This window comes from Homo sapiens, chromosome 14 (assembly GCF_000001405.40).
Source record: "Homo sapiens chromosome 14, GRCh38.p14 Primary Assembly".
In the NCBI taxonomy this organism is placed as follows: domain Eukaryota; kingdom Metazoa; phylum Chordata; class Mammalia; order Primates; family Hominidae; genus Homo; species Homo sapiens.
Genome location: NC_000014.9, coordinates 67,209,146 through 67,226,667, shown reverse-complemented (window position 1 = coordinate 67,226,667; position 17,522 = coordinate 67,209,146). Strand labels below are relative to the sequence as shown.

General features: G+C 39.5%; 2 protein-coding genes across 8 annotated transcripts in view; both read right to left on the bottom strand.

Moving 5' to 3' along the window:
• Nucleotides 1–17,522, bottom strand: part of GPHN (gephyrin) — a 1,227,209-nt gene that overhangs the window by 508,688 nt on the left and 700,999 nt on the right. The gene's annotated exons all lie outside the window — the stretch shown is intronic.
• Nucleotides 1–17,522, bottom strand: part of GARIN2 (golgi associated RAB2 interactor family member 2) — a 39,119-nt gene that overhangs the window by 1,891 nt on the left and 19,706 nt on the right. For 4 of the 7 annotated variants that reach the window (NM_173526.4, XM_011536500.2, XM_011536503.3 and 1 more), the window contains 2 exons: nt 4,861–4,889; nt 1,403–1,550 (listed from right to left, as the gene is read on the bottom strand). In NM_173526.4, the coding sequence (NP_775797.2) occupies nt 1,471–1,550; nt 4,861–4,889 (109 nt within the window). In that variant the 3' untranslated portion in view covers nt 1,403–1,470. Of the gene's footprint in view, nt 1–1,402; nt 2,916–4,860; nt 4,890–17,522 lie in introns of those variants that run through there. The other 3 variants (XM_047431033.1, XM_047431034.1, NM_001395907.1) reach the window with 2 other exon arrangements.

The following is a 17,522-nucleotide window of genomic DNA, read 5'->3' as shown; positions in this document are numbered from 1 at the left end:
AATGCTCAGCCAGGCACAGTGGCTCACGCCTGTAATCCCAGCACTTTGGGAGGCTGAGGCGGGCGGATCACTTGAGGTCAGGAGTTTGAGACCAGCCTGGCCAACATGGTGAAACCCCGTCTCTACTAAAAATACAAAAATTAGCCAGGTGTGATGGTGTGCACCTGTAGTCCCAGCTACTTGGGAGGCTGAAGCAGGAGAATCTCTTGAACCCAGGAGGCAGAGGTTGCAGTGAGCCAAGATTGTGCCACTGCACTCCAGCCTGGTGACAGAGCGAGACTCCGTCTCAAAAAAACAAAACAAAAAAAACTAGCTGGTTGTGGTGGTGCTTGTCTGTAATCCCAGCTACCCAGGAGGCTGAGGCATGAGAACCACTTGAACCCAGGAGGCAGAGGTTGCAGTGAGCCAAGATTGCGCCACTGCACTCCAGCCTGGGCGACAGAGCAAGATTCAGTCTCAAAAAAATAAAAATAAAAATAAATAAACAAGTAAATAAACAAAATGCTCAAGTGCTAAGCTGGCTTTGGTGGCAGAGTGACAGAAGGGTGGACAGAAGAGTGAGCACCTTGATTCCATCAGCAAGGCCCTGCCAAGATGGGCAAGGGGTTACTGCCCAGGCCACCCGTGGTCCACCAACCTCCCCCCTTCAATACTGTGAACTCAGCCCTTATGAGCATGCACGCGCATGCGCACGCGCGCGCGCGCACACACACACACACACACACACACACACACACACACTCACAGCATTAGCTTTATGAAGGAGGCAACAGAAGACACAATGGCCCTAAAATTGCATTGCTTCCACTCTTTCTGTGCTACTGGGTGTTGTTATCATGGCTGAGAGAAGTTTCATTTTTCAGCAACGCACTGCAGAGCTGGTGTTTCGAACAAACTTAGAATACAGTAGGCCAGGGCCACCCTATACAGCTGTGCAGATTATGAATTGCACATAAACTACAGTGTGTATGGTGTGTACAAGCTACATAACTGTACATGACAGCCCTGCAGGCACTCTACGAATATCTGTATCATTTTGCTATGAAAAAAAAGAGGTCTTGATTGTATTGGCTGATCTAAAAAGCAGGTTGGGAAAGAGCATGATAAGGTTACAAAGAAGTACAGAAATGAGAAGAATCGCTATGGTAGTGCAGCACATAATTCTCTTCCAGTGCCTCACCTGAAGCCCTCTCTCCTCCTCCCTGTGCTGATGTTATCTTTTGACCCATGATGGATTCTAGAGCAGAAACCACAACAAACCCCTAACATTTCATTCCACTTATATTGTTACTACAGTAGAATAAGATTTAATGTTAAAAGATCCCACTTATTAACAACTTTTTTGTGTGACAGTATCATAGCTATCATGTATTCCTATAGAGACTTATAATTAAAAAGTTACCTTTAGTTTGTCTTACATGTTTTTCCATCAACTTTGTCTTTTTCTGTTTTACTTTTCTTTCCTCACATTCATTCCCTTGAGAAAGGGGCAGACAGATGAGGCACAAGTTTGAGGAAATTAGAAGGAGATTTGATATGAGGGGAGAGAACTAGAGGGAAAAAAGAAAAAGAATAAGGAAAGTAAAGGAGAGATCAATAGAGAGGAAGTGAGAAAGAAAAAAAGCCAAAAGCAGGAGGAAAAAAAAGGCACAGAAGGAGAAAGAGCTTATTTTGAATATTAAATTCAGATTATGTTCTAACCACCTCATCAAAAATGTATTTATTCTTTGCAATGGAGCTTATTGTTGAATTTCACAAGCAGGTTCCCTTTTAGAGGGCTCCCTCCTTTTTTATTAAGCCTGGGTTTTATAAACAAAGAATGAACCTGGCTGCTTAGGATTCCAAGGAATTTGGTTTGTAATATTTAAGAGGAACATGGAAAAGAAAGATGGGTAAGGGTAGGAAGGAAACTCCCAATATTTTATGTGATTTTTCTTTCTCTTCTTTTCTTGAATCTCTATCCTTTGTCTCTTTTCATCTTGGAAAAAATATCAAAGAATCAGAGATAAGCCCATAATTTGGGCTCACTGTAAAAAAAAAAATTTAAAAGTTAAGGAGAATAAAGCCTAGAAAGGTAAAAACTTAAAGCTAAGAAAGTAGAGAAATGGGGCCGGGCACAGTGGCTCATGTCTGTAATCCTGGCACTTTGGGAGGCTGAGGTGGGCGGATCATGAGGTCAGGAGATTGAGACCATCCTGGCTAACACAATGAAACCCCATCTCTACTAAAAATACAAAAACAATTAGCTAGGCATAGTGGCACGCATCTGTAGTCCCAGCTACTCGGGAGACTGAGGCAAGAGAATCGCTTGAACCTGGGAGGCGGAGGTTGCAGTGAGCTGAGATCGTGCCACTGCGCTCCAGCCTGGGCGACAGAGTAAGACTCTGTCTCAAAAAAAAAAAAAAAAAGAAAAGAGAGAAATGAACTCAGATCCAGAGAGACAAATTTAACCTGGACCCTATTTCATGCATAAAGTTGTCATAAAAACAGTGCATTTGAAGTGCCACTTTATCCCAAAACCTTATGCAGAAAAGGAGAAAAAAAATTTAACTTTCGCAAACTGCTGAGAGGTTTGAGAGATGAATTTGAGATCATGGTCCCTAACTAGCATTGCTGGGTGAATGTGAATCAGATGAGCTTAATAATGCCAGGAATTTGTTTTACTACTATGGGGAGCAGTTATTATTCTGATTTCCGCCTATAATATAAATTAGAATTACGGACTCATTTTTAATTTGTACTCCAATTACATTTAATAAAATGAGGTATTAAGATTCAGCCAGTCTTTGCTTTTCTTGGGGTACAGGGTGTTAAGTGAGAGTAAAAGTGTATGGAAGGGGAACAGGTGATTTAGAGGAGAGTGAAAATGGGGAAAGAAATGCTAATCAGGGGAAAAACTGAAAAACTATACAAGCCTAAGTAAGAAAAAAGTGGGAAAACATGGGAGAAAAAGGTGGAAAGAAATAAGAAATACATAAGAGAAAACAAACAGGGAAAATAATTAATACTTTGTGGAAAACGACATGCCCATTTTGTAAGTTGTGCCACCCTTGTGATTTAACAAGCCCAGAGTGGAATTTTTCTGCTCATTTGCTGTATCTTTGCTTAGCTCCTGATTTCCAAAGCCCCATTTCAAGCTGCCTGCTAGATTGTCGAAGATGAGTCCCAGGACTACAAACATGGCAGCTCATAGAATCTTAACTACCAAAAGGGTTTTGAGACAGCGAATCATGCCCTCCTCTTTTCTTGTAAGCTATGATAGCATTTCCCTATAATGTTCTCAGGTTCAGTAGTATAGATTGGAATATAGGCCTAACCACATTACAGTGAAGTTCATCTCATATTTTTAGACACTAAAGCCCAATGGGGGCCAGGCGCAGTGGCTCACGCCTGTAATCCCAGCACTTTGGGAGGCCAAGGCAGGGGGATCACTTGAGGTCAGGAGTTCGAGACCAGCCTGGCCAACATGGTGAAACCCCATCTCTACAAAAAATACAAAAATTAGCCAGGCATGGTGGCGGGTGCTTGTAATCCCAGCTACTTGGGAGGCTGGAGCAGGGGAATCACTTGAACCCAGGAGGTGGAGGTTGCAGTGAGCCAAGATTGTGCCACTGCACTCTGGCTTGGGCGAAAGAGGGAGACCCCATCTCAAAAAAAAAAAAAAAAAAGCCCAATGGGAAGGCCCAAAGACAAATCCCATTTGTGTAAAAACCTATTCTATAATGATTTGCTGTTTTTTGTGGGACTGACTCTTGTACGTGTGACTAAAACTGCCTTCAAGTATTCTTGCTTTTTGAAGCAGTATTTTTTTTTTCTCTTCACTTATGCCAAGTTAAATGTTCCTTCCATAGTGTTCTTTTATGTGCATGACTGAAGCTGAGGCTTGGTCTGTCTCCCAGGTTTGAAAGTAACTTAGAGCTGGTTCAGCACTCAGCAAAGAGAGAGATTTGCCTATAAGACAACCTATAAGAGGTGCCTATAAGACAACCTCCACATTAAAAGTTCGTTACAGGCTAAAGATTCTTAGAACATGGCAATATATAAAGAAAAATCATCACTCCCCACTGCCAAATAAAACCCAAACATTAAATAGGTCCAGGGTGGTGGCTCACTCCTATAATCCCAGCACTTTGGGAGGCCCAGGTGGGCAGATCACTGGACATCAGGAGTTCGAGACCATCCTGGCCAACATGGTGAAAAATACAAAATTTAGTTAGGCGTGGTGGCAAACGCCTGTAATCCCAGCTACTCAGGAGGCTGAGGCAGCAGAATCACTTGAACTCAAAAGGCAGAGAGGTTGCAGTGAGCAAGATCACACCACTGCACATCAGCCTGGGCAACAGAGACTACGCCTCACAAAAAACAACAACAAACAAACAAACAAAAACATTAAATAGTATCACCTGGTAGAGGCTAAAGACATAGGAGGAACAAAGAGGAGCTGGATAATTTTACATTTACCAAAAATTTAGTTGTGGACCATTCCCGTTATATATCAGCAAGGATGGCAGGTCCTATGATTGCTGTAGTTTGCATTCTGCCTGCAGAACTAGGCTTGGCGTGGTTTATGCTTGATGATTTAGATACAGGGAACTGGGAAACTAAACCAGTGCAGAAAAAGAAAACTGAAGTAGTAAAGTACCATAATGTTTTCCACTTGAAAGATAGCCTGAGGATCGGCTTTGAGAAAGAGTTTCTTCAGTATAGGATTCTCAGAATGGAGCATAGTGAAGAAAGGAAATGCATCAAAAAGTCTAGCTGAATTCCTTTGCTCTTAGCCACACTACTCTTCTAGGAACCAGAGATGACTACTGAATACCAGGGATCACAATAAAACATGTAGTGGAATTTGTTCCATACCTGAAGTGTTTGATTCAGTTCTCAAGCTCCTGTAAAAATAAATAGCACATCTCAAAAATTTGCCAGCATAACCACAAATATTTAGAAAAGATCTACTAGATATAAAATAACCGGTCATTCTTTAAATGCTCTGTGGGTAGTAATGAAACACGTTTAGCAAACCTAGGCCATTGCTGATTATAGAACATATGAGAATAAAATTACCTAAATTTCTGCAACATGTGGACTATTCAATCTGTAAAAGCCGTAAAAGTTTATTGTACGTAATAATATGTAATCTATTCTTATTATATCTATTGCCAGTCACTCCATAGGGCTGCTGGCATCCCCAACACTGCCGCCTCCTTGTCCTTCCCTTATCAGGCTGAGAGAAGTTAACTGCTGCTGCTGAGCCGTGTAAATAAATAAGGTCAACTATGTTGGGAATATAGGGTTTCAAAGAGACCTGGGGATAAATTCTGAAATGGATGGTTAGGAGAAATCACCAACTTCTGGTAGCTTCTTTACCACCAAGTCTTTGGCTTTACCAGGGGTGGCCATGCTTGGGAATCTTGTAGCAAATAATGTAACTTATTTACATTTAATAACATTTCTTATGGTTGTTGGATAAAAGAAGAGGCTAGCAGTTTTTTAGATTTCACTTTCAGAAATGTCTTTGGATAAAGAAGCTTATTTTCTGTGCTCCTGATTTTTAAAACTGATAATAATCAAAATACTTATTTCCTTAACCTCATTGGCATACTAAAACATAAACTTAAGTCACATAATTTTCACCAAATTCTTATTTCTTGACACATTTTCAATAAGTATTTTGGAAGTATTGAATAAAACAAATAGTTTAGGAAGAATAATTATCTTAGCTATTATCCTACAAAATAAACATGCAAAGACATAATTGTGGTCCATTTTAAGGGGACTGGCAAATACACCCAGTTCAAGTTCTACAATGGATCTTTCAGAAAGTAAATGTTAAAATCGTAATTTTCTATACAGTTTGCAAATATTCATATAGTCTTTATCAAATAGATCTGATGACTTAAATGAAGGTTAAGCGAGACTGAGAAGCATCAGGTAAATGTACCTTGAAAAATAGATGCAAATTAAAATAAAGCCTGCCACTATCCTCTTTGAAACAAAGGAAAGAGCCATGGTAGGACTACTGTCAAGATATGAGAAAAAAATATAAATGTTTTATAAAGTAAATTCTTCATTTCTAAAGGAACTAAAGTGACAGTATAGATAAGTTTAAGTTTCCAACATTTTTCACTCATCTAGATTTAAGATGCTCAATTTAAATTTTAAAGACTAGTAAATCTGAGGGCACAATATTCAACAAGGTCATCATTTACCTTTTTTTTTTTTTCCTGAGAAAAGGTCTCTCTCTGTTACCCAGGCTAGAGTGCAGTGGCTCTATCATGGCTCTTTGCAGCCTTGACCTCCCAGCTCAAGCAATCCCCTTGCCTCAGCCTCCTGAGTAACTGGGACCTCAGGTGTGCACTACCACGCCCAGATAACTTTTTTCTTTTTTCTTTTTTGTAGGGACAGGGTCTTGACATATTGCCCAGGGTGGTCTTGAGCTCCTGAGCCCAAGCCATCCTCCCGCCTGGGCCTCTCAAAGTTTTGGGATTACAGGCATGAGCCGTTGCACGCAGCCTAATTTTTTATCAGTGTTCCAAAGTACACAGTTATAAAGTGTCACTGAAATCCATGGTTTTGGAAAAGAAAAATAATATATATAACTTATTTTTCAACCTCACTAGCATTACTAAATCCCACTAATGTCTCTGCAATACAGCAGTAGTGAATTCCATTCTGTTCTTAGAATATTACATCTTTCATCCATAATTAACATTCTCAAATTAGACTCTAGCTAGTAATTATGTTCCTGATGCAAATAGGCAATAAAAAGAAATCCATGCTTTATTAAATTGGGCTTAAGAGGATTACTTATAACCAAAATTTGTTTTGTTTTGTTTTTCTTCATCTATTTATTTCTCTCCAGTAGAGTCAGCTGATAAATGGCGTAGGGAGCTGAGAAGGGAGGGGTGAGACCTTGAAGAATTTGAGATTTGTTAATTCTCAAGATCTTTTATAGCTTTAAAATTCTATGATTTTTGCTATTTATTTAGGGATTCATTTTTTATCATTTCTAATAATGATCATAATAGTGAGACTAATGAAACAGTACCTGCTGAGCCTTTTTCATCCTAACAAAGTTATTCTTATAATATTTAATGTTTTAAAAAGCTATTAAGGGGTAGTGTAGAAAAATTCTCAGGGAGTGATGTCAGCAAGATGGCTGACTAGAGACACCTGTCATTCATCCTTCTCCCACAAGAAAGGACCAAAGCAATGAATAAACTGCTAAGATGTGACTGGAGTGTCAAAGGAAGGTCACTGGAGGGCAGCTGGGGAGCAGAGACATGTCTGTGGTGATGGAAAGTCCAGGAGGGTAGTGTGGAGGCACCTATATCACCCATGTGGACTAGATCTGCCCAGAGTCAGGAGAGACCTCCCATTGCAGGGAAAACGTAAGCAGAAGAGCCCCACCAGCCCCCATTGCTACCAAAAACACCTACAGTCCTTACAACAGGAGAATCCCACAGTCATCACAAGCCCTGAGCCTAGTTTTGGGAGTTGCTAGGAATTCACACAGCTGCATTGCCCCAGGTTAAGAGCACAAGGTATGCACTTCCTACTCCCCAATCACCACCTGTGAGCCAAACTGCTGCTTGAGACCAGAGCCACCTCTGGAGAGTAACCTGCTCTGGGGGGCCACTGGCCACCGCATCTCTCCAGCCCTAGGGCTCCATCTCCATTCCACCAAGCCCACACTGGTGGCTGAACACGACAACACCACCTGTGCAGAACCTGGGCCAGGATCTGCTGTGGCTTTGGCTTTACATAGCAGGGAAACCAACCCTCACTGCTGCACTTCTAGCCAGAGGGAGAGTACGACAGTCTTATCCATGGAAAACCCACCCTTGAGTCAGCCAAACTGCTGCATACACACCCTCAAATGAGAGAGACCCCTGAACCTCTAAACAGCTTGATATACCCTTGGGCAAGCAGAATGGCTATGTGCTGTGCTTAGGGCACAAAGAAACTGTTCCGCAGTGCCTCCATCCCCTACAGATATGTTTCTGGCCTGCCCAATGACCCTGCACCCAAAATCAGGGTCTGAGACATAGTCCTGCAGGTTGCTCCTGACGGACATGCCCCCAGGCCAGCCAAACAGGCAAGAACCCATATCCTGGACCAGAGAAACAGTCCCATAAGCCACCCAGGTTGACATGCCCCAGGCTGCCAAGCAGCCCTGTATCCACATATCAGGCCTCAGAAACAGCCCACAGGCTGTCCCCAGTGAGCACGTCCCTGAGTCAGCCAAGCAGACTTGCACTTGTGTTCCAGATTTGAGAAACGGCTCTGTGGGCCACCCACCCAGTAAACATGCCCCCAGATCACCCACACCCAAGCAGCTGTGCACCCACATCCCTGGTGCATAGCTCTGAGAAACACCAGGCCTGAGAAACAGCTCTGTAGGCTGCTACTCATAGACAACAACTGTGTGATCATGCTTCTGGCCACAGTAACAGCCCCATGGCCCCAAACCCAGCAAGCCAGACCTCAGGTTGGCCAACCCACTGTGTGTATGTGCCTGTCTGTCCTTGACCTGAGAAACAGCCTGGTGAGCCTACCCCTGGCAAAGCTGCACCACTGATGCCACAAACTCTCTAAGCCTAGGCCACTGAGAAACTTGCAAACACTAAAGAAACTACATGGAGACTACACTGTTGCATCCACTTAGAACCAAAGCCAATGCAACCCACTGAACTGACATCCCAAGACCCATTCATATAAATAAGTCTTTCCCTGTGACACTACTCCATAAAATTGGAGGAGGCATTTTTTCCATTAGATGCACAGAACTCAACATAGGACCACAGGATACATGACACTTCCAAAGAAAAACAATAATTCTCCAGTAACAAACATCAATAATAAGAAAACATAGAAAATGTCAGAAAAAGAATTTAAAATAATAATCTTAAGAAAACTCTTAAGATTAAACTCTTAAGATTAAAATCTTTTACAGATAAACCAAAACTAAGGAAATTCATCATCACTAGATTGGCCTTACAAAAAATGCTCAAGGGACTTATATATAGAAATGAAAAGATGATAGCCACCATCATGCAAACATGCAAAACTATAAAACTCACTGGTAGAGCTGATACACAAAGGAGAAAGAGAAAGCAATAAAACCTTATCACTACAGAAAATCACTCAACTGCAAAAATAAACAATAAGAGAAGTAAGGAGCAAATGATATACAAAACAACCAGAAAACATGTAACAAAATGACATGAGTAAGTCTTTACCTATCACTAATAACCTTAAATGTAAATAGATTAAAATTCCCTGCTTAAAAGATATAGACTGGCTGAATGGATTTTTTAAAAAATGACCCAACTATATGCTGCCTACATGAAACTTACTTCACCTGTAAAGATGCATATAGACTGAAAGTGAAGAAATGAAACAAGATATTCGATGCAAATGGAAACCAAAGTCAAGCAAGAGTAGCCATATTTATATCAGATAAAACAGAATTTATGTCAGAAACTGTAAAAAAAAAAGATGAAGAAAGTCATTCTATAGTTATAAACGGATCAATTTAACGTGAAGATATAACAATTGTAAATATACATGTACACTGGAGCACCCAGATTTATAAAGCAAATATTAGATCTAAAGGCAAATAGAGATCCCAATACAATAATAGCTGGGGACTTCAACACCCACTCTTAGCCTTGGACAAATCATCTAGACAGAAAATCATCAAAGAAACATGGAATTTAAACTGCATCACAGACCAAATGACTTAACAGACATTTATAGAACATTTCATCCAACAGCTGCACAGTACACATTCTTTTCATCAGCATGTGGAATATTCTCCAGGATTGACTATATGTTAGGACACAAAACAAATGTCAAAAAGTTTATCCAAAATTTTTAAAAATCAAAATCTTATCAAGTATTTTATCTGACCACAATGGAATAAAACTAGAAATCAATAACAACAGGAACATTCAAAAGTATACAATACATAAAAATTAAACAACATGCTCCTAAATGACCAATGGGTGAAGGAAGAAATGAAGGATGCTATTTAAAAATTTACTGATACAAATGGAAATAGAAATACAATATACGAAAACTTATGGGGGCACAGCAAAAGCAGTATTAAGAGTCAAGTTTATAGTGATAAATACCTACATCAAAAAACTAGAAAGATGTCAAATAAATAACCTAATGATGCACCTTGAGGAACTAGAAAAGCATGAATAATCCAAACTCAAAATTAGTAGAAGAAATAATAAAAGTCAGAGCAGAAATAAATGAAATGGAGACTGAAAAAAAACCCCAAAATATTAACAAAACGTGATTAACTCATTCTATGAGGCCAGCATTGCCCTGATACCAAAACCAGACAAGGACATGACAAAAAAAGAAGACTACAGGTTAGTATCCCAGATGAATATAGATGACAAAATCCTCAAGAAAACAAAATCCACAGAACTGTACAACACAAGGAGTAAATCTTAATGTAATGTAAACTATGGACTATAGTTAATAACAATGTATTAATATGTGTTCATTGACTGTAACAAATGTACCACATGTTAGATGTTAATAGAAGATACCATGGGGGATTGGTAGGAGGACACGGTGGGAGGCGTGTGTGGAACTCTATGCACTATTTGCTCAGTTATTTTGTAAATCTAAAACTGCACGCAAAAAATAAAGTTTATTAATTATTTTTCATCAATTTTTTAAAAGGCATTAAAAGCGAATCTAATGGTTTAGGGCATTTGTTTTGGGCAAGGAAAGAAGTAGCTGAAATGATTCAGTTAACTTTGTGAGATTTTGATTTGTGGTATGATTTTGAAGTGTTAGACAAGGGTTGGGGGCACTGGATTTGAGACATAAGAATGAAATAAAACATAAGGAAGACATCAGAGTGACCAGACCTGATCAATGATTATTTAGGACAAATTGCTAAGTTGGATGGATTCATTTAATCTTGTTTTTTTAAATAAACCTTACGCTTTTCTAATAAAGTCATACTCACTTATTGTAGTGAAAGGTATGTTTTCCACTGAGCAGCACCTGCCTCTATCCTTCTGCATCTTATATTCCCGTATCCCTTTCCTATTTCTGACTATTGGTTTCTGTTTTTCTCTTCCTACTTTACTCTCACTCTCTCCTGTTGTTGTTGTTGTTGTTTTTTAATCTTTGTACTTTCTCTTCTAACACATCAGACTTACAAGTTGCCCTTCTGTCATTGTTTACTTACACTGAAATAGCTCAGTGGTTATCATAAAAAAAAAAAACAATAGATCAGTGTTCTGGGGAGAAATTTATTTCAGTGACTTCTGTGCCCTCGGTAAAAGTAGGAAAATGTCTGTAGGTGATAACAGCAATTCCCACATTGAACCATTTTTTATCTTTTTGAGCTCCTAGTCCTGGAAGAAAGCTCCCTAGAAGATTCCTGGTGAGCCTATAGTTCTTTCCACAGCTATAAAAGCAGAATACTTATTTTGACTGTAGGGCTTCAGGAGAAGCCATTATGAGAGGGGAATCCTTGCTTGATAGATATGACTGGCTTCTCCTAAGGAAATGGTTCTCAAATCTGAGTGTGCATTAGAATCACTTGGAACCCCATTGTCTCAGCCCAGAATCTCCTTAAGCTGACAAGCAACTTCAGCAAAGTCTCAGGATACAAAATCAATGTGCAAAAATCACAAGCATTCTTATACACCAATAACAGACAAACAGAGAGCCAAATCATGAGTGAACTCCCATTCACAATTGCTTCAAAGGGAATAAAATACCTAGGAATCCAACTTACAAGGGATGTGAAGGACCTCTTCAAGGAGAACTACAAACCACTGCTCAATGAAATCAAAGAGGATACAAATAAATGGAAGAACATTCCATGCTCATGGATAGGAAGAATCAATATCGTGAAAATGGCCACACTGCCCAAGGTAATTTATAGATTCAATGCCATCCCCATCAAGCTACCAATGACTTTCTTCACAGAATTGGAAAAAACTACTTTAAAGTTCATATGGAACCAAAAAAGAGCCCGCATCGCCAAGTCAATCCTAAGCCAAAAGAACAAAGCTGGAGGCACCACGCTACCTGACTTCAAACTATACTACAAGGCTACAGTAACCAAAATAGCATGGTACTGGTACCAAAACAGAGATATAGATCAATGGAACAGAACAGAGCCCTCAGAAATAACGCCGCACGTCTACAACTATCTAATCTTTGACAAACCTGAGAAAAACAAGCAATGGGGAAAGGATTCCCTATTTAATAAACGGTGCTGGGAAAACTGGCTAGCCATATGTAGAAAGCTGAAACTGGATCCCTTCCTTACACCTTATACAAAAATTAATTCAAGATGGATTAAAGACTTAAACGTTAGACCTAGAACCATAAAAACCCTAAAAGAAAACCTAGGCAATACCATTCAGGACATAGGCATGGGCAAGGACTTCACGTCTAAAACACCAAAAGCAATGGCAACAAAAGCCAAAATTGACAAATGGGATCTAATTAAACTAAAGAGCTTCTGCACAGCAAAAGAAACTAACATCAGAGTGAACAGCCAACCTATAAAATGGGAGGACATTTTCGCAACCTACTCATCTGACAAAGGGCTAATATCCAGAATCTACAATGAACTCAAACAAATTTACAAGAAAAAAACAAACAACCCCATCAAAAAGTGGGCGAAGGACATGAACAGATACTTCTCAAAAGAAGCCATTTATGCAGCCAAAAAACACATGAAAAAATGCTCACCATCACTGGCCATCAGAGAAATGCAAATCAAAACCACAATCAGATACCATCTCACACCAGTTAGAATGGCAATCATTAAAAAGTCAGGAAACAACAGGTGCTGGAGAGGATGTGGAGAAATAGGAACACTTTTACACTATTGGTGGGACTATAAACTAGTTCAACCCTTGTGGAAGTCAGTGTGGCGATTCCTCAGGGATCTAGAACTAGAAATACCATTTGACCCAGCCATCCCATTACTGGGTATATACCCAAAGGACTATAAATCATGCTGCTATAAAGACACATGCACACGTAAGTTTATTGTGGCACTATTCACAATAGCAAAGACTTGGAACCAAGCCAAATGTCCAACAATGATAAACTGGATTAAGAAAATGTGGCACATATACACCATGGAATACTATGCAGCCATAAAAAATGATGAGTTCATGTCCTTTGTAGGGACATGGATGAAATTGGAAATCATCATTCTCAGTAAACTATCGCAAGAACAAAAAACCAAACACCGCATATTCTCACTCATAGGTGGGAATTGAACAATGAGAACACATGGACACAGGAAGGGGAACATCACACTCCAGGGACTGTTGTGGGGTGGGGGGAGGGGGGAGGGATAGCCTTAGGAGATATACCTAATGCTAAATGACGAGTTAATGGGTGCAGCACACCAGCATGGCACATGTATACATATGTAACTAACCTGCACATTGTGCACATGTACCCTAAAACTTAAAGTATAATAATAATAAAATAAAATAAAATACATTTAAAAAAAAATTCTACATGCAGAACAGCTATCTGAGAAGTAAAAAAAAAAAAAAACACCACAGAATTCTATGCCCCATCCCCAAGCTTATGATTCAGTAAGATGGGGTGAGGCCTAAGCATTTACATCTTTAACCAGTTCCCAGGTGATGCTGCTGGTCCAGCGTCCTCATTTTGAGAACAACTCATATAGAAACCTTAGATAGTTAACGATGCTTTGCTTGAACAGCCAAGAACCAACACTTTGAATGTCTTGGCACTTGTATCTAGAGGCTCTGGGATTGTGAAAAATGCAGTGCTCAAGCAGCTAAAGCAAACTACTCTGATTTCAAGGTTTGTGGCTCTCCTAAGGATCACCCATTTTCCTTTGTTTCCCTTGGCCTATACTTTGTTAGGAAAGAAGACTTTTTAGAAAAACCAGCTTTGAGTAGTTAATCCTCAGTTGAATAAGATATTTTTGTGTATACATTTATTTGTATGTATGTGTAAATATATATTATATATATATGTAATATATATTATATATAATATATATTACATATATATATATATATTTTTTTTTTCAACAGGGTCTTGCTCTGTCACCCAGGCTGGAGTGCAGTGGCTCTATCATGGCTCACTGCAGCCTCAACCCCCCAGGATTAGGTGATCCTTCCACTTCAGCCTCCCTAATAACTGGGACTACAGGCACATGCCACCATGCTCTGCAAAATTTTTGTATTTTTTTTGTAGAGACAGGGTTTTGCAATGTTGCCCAGGCTGGTCTCGAACTCCTTGGCTTGAGCGATCTGCCCATGGGATTACAGGTGTGAGACACTGCGCCTGGCCCTAAGATACATTTTTTGTCAGAGGAGCCATTTTAAAGAAGATACATTTTTTTCTTTAATCTACACTGTTAAAAATGAATTATTAGTGACAATAATGATCATTTACTGAGCAACTAATATGTCCAAAGTCCTCTATGTACTTTCATCACTATGCTTCTCAGAACCTTACAATGTACCTAGTGTGTTTACTGTTTTCATTTCATTATACTCTTTCAAGGAATTCCCTAGAGCACACCTATATTTGACTTTAGCATGCATTCTATTATTCATTTTAGCAGATCTTCACAGTGGTTAAGATTACATTATAAGAAACATGAAAAGGTCTCCTGGCAGAAGAATGCTTAAAGTCTATCCAGGACAAATGATTTAATGTTCGTTTTTGAGAAGTTTTGCAGGGACAGACTTCACAATGTACAGAACCTACAGAAACTGGTTCTGTTTTTTATCAATATATAATAAATGATAAGTATTTATTTATTTAAGAGTCAGTGTCTTGCTCCATCACCCGGGCTGGAGTGCAATGGCTTGATCATGCTCACCAAAACTTCAAACTCCTAGGCTCAAGTGACCCTCCCACTTTTGTTTTGGTGGCAGGGTTTTGTTAAGTTGCCCAGGATGGTACTCCCACTGTAGCTTCCACAGTTGATGGGATTACAGGCGTGTGAGCCACTTTGCCCAGGTTATTTTTTAAATTGATTGCTATATTACCTAATAGTAAAATTTTCCTGTGTTAAAATAATTTTTACTTTAAGTCTACTTTTTAAATGTAGCTTTCTGTGAACTTCCTCATACATTCGAATATGGTCATTGTCACCTATTAACATTCTCCTATCACCTCAATTATTTTTTACTACATTAAAAATATTTAATCAGTTTTGTGCTCTTTTCCCCAGTTCTCCTCTAGGTTCAGTTTATTGGGTAGTATAGTGGAAAGATTACTTCAGACATCCTGTGTGGTACAGAACCATGTTTGTACTGTATTCAATGTGAGTCAAATCTACATTAGGTTTTTTTTGTTCAGTTTGCTTGAACCTATCTTCCTCTCTCTTTCCTTCCTTCCTCCCACCTATATTTTATCTATATCTATACCTAGATGTATTTTGAACAGTTACCATGAGCCTGGTATTGTGAGGGTTTTAATATCAGCTATTTAATCCTTATAGCAATTCTACATGGTAGATAGTATCCCCATGTTACAAATGAGGAAACAGACCTGAAGAAGTTAAGTAACTTGCCCAAGATCATAGAGCTAATGAGATAGAGAAGCCAGGATTTGAACCCAGAGATCTGACTGCAAAGCTTATTCTCTGTTTTTGTTTGTTTTTTGAGGCAGGGTGTCACTCCATCACCCAGGCTGGAGTGCAGTGGTGCAATCTCAGCTCACTGCAACCTCCACCTCCCAGGTTCAGGTGATCCACCTTAGCCTCCTGAGTAGCTGGGACTACAGACACATGCTACCACATCTAACTAATTTTTGTAGAGACAGGGTTTCACCATGTAGCCCAGGCTGGTCTCGAACTCCTGGACTCAAGCTATCTGCATCCCTCGGCCTCCCTAAGTGCTGGGATTACAGGTCTGAGCCATCATGACCTGTGGCAAAGTTCATTCTCTATTGGCTGTGTTAAACTGTCTCCCAATGAATGCATCCTAGATTCAATTTACTTTTACAATTATATGTGTAATCAATTATATAACGAAAGTTTAATAGAAACATCTATCAATAGCTACAACAAATATTTATTCCTTTTATCATCAACTATGCCCAAACTGTGGTTTCTTCCCAGACTATAGAAATAAAATACCATTGTATTTACATTTTTTGGAATTTTGCTTTTCCAGCTTATAATTCCTTATTACTAACATAGCTCTTTTCTTTTTTCTTTGTTCTTCTTCTTTTTTTTAAATAGAGACAGGGTCTCCCTATGTTGTCCAGGTGGGTTTCAAACTCCTGGGCTCAAGCAGTCCTCCTGCCTCAGCCTCCCAAAGTGCTGGGATTATAGGCAGGAGCCACCATGCCAGCCATAGCTCTTTTCATTGAAATTCTGCCCATGGCTTTTTCTAATGGGGTTCTGTTGTTTCACGAAATCGACATACTATTTCCTGGTTAGCCATTTTTCCAGTTGTGAGCATTTGGATTACTTACAGGTTTTCCATATGAAACGCTACATTCAAATAAGTTATTTTCCCCTTTGAATGATTTCTTTGACATGTTACCATAAGTAAAGGAATACAAACATTAGGGGTGTGAATTGAATTGACAACCATTTACAGTGACACTAAGAGTGTTGTTGACACCTAATGAAAAGCTAACTGGTAATTGCTTAACTTGTATTTCTTTAATTATTAGTGAGGTTGATTCCTTCTCAAGTAGTTGTCTTCTGGAGTAAATTTTCTATTTATGTCCTTAAATCATTTGTTAATTGGATCCCTTACAAATTCCTACCAACTACTTATATATAAAGGTAATCTATTATACTTTTTCGTTTCTTTTTTTTTTTTTTTTTTTCCGAGATGGAGTCTTGCTCTGTCACCCAGGCTGGAGTTTAATGGCACGATCTCGGCTCACTGCAACCTCAGTCTCCCGGGTTCAGGCAATTCTCCTGCCTCAGCCTCCCGAGTAGCTGGGATTACAGGCGCCTGCCACCACACCTGGCTAATTTTTGTATTTTTAGTAGAGACGGGGTTTCACCATGTTGGCCAGGCTAGTCTCGAACTCCTGACCTCATGATCTGCCCGCCTCAGCCTCCCAAAGTGCTGGGACTACAGGCATGAGCCACCACACCCGGCCTATTATGCTTTTCCCTCCACTCTGTTATCATACATATATGAGTGTATTTATTTTTTTAAAATGATTTATTTGGCAGAGATTTGTAATTGTTATGCAATCAATCAACTTGGAACTCTGTTCCCCCAGAGGTTCACACTTGCTCAGGTCTCTGCTCAAATGGCCTTGACCACCTGTATAAAATATCTCTCCACCCTCTTCTAATTACTCTCACTCTCTATTCTCTCTCTCTCTTTTTATTTTCATCACAGCACATTCCAGCTGGCATAATATATTGTATTGGTTTATTATCTGTGTCCCCCACTAGAATAAAACACTCCATGAGATATGGACTTGATCATTTTTGCTGCTGTATCCCCAATGCCTAGTGCATAGGAAGTGCTCATAAATATTTT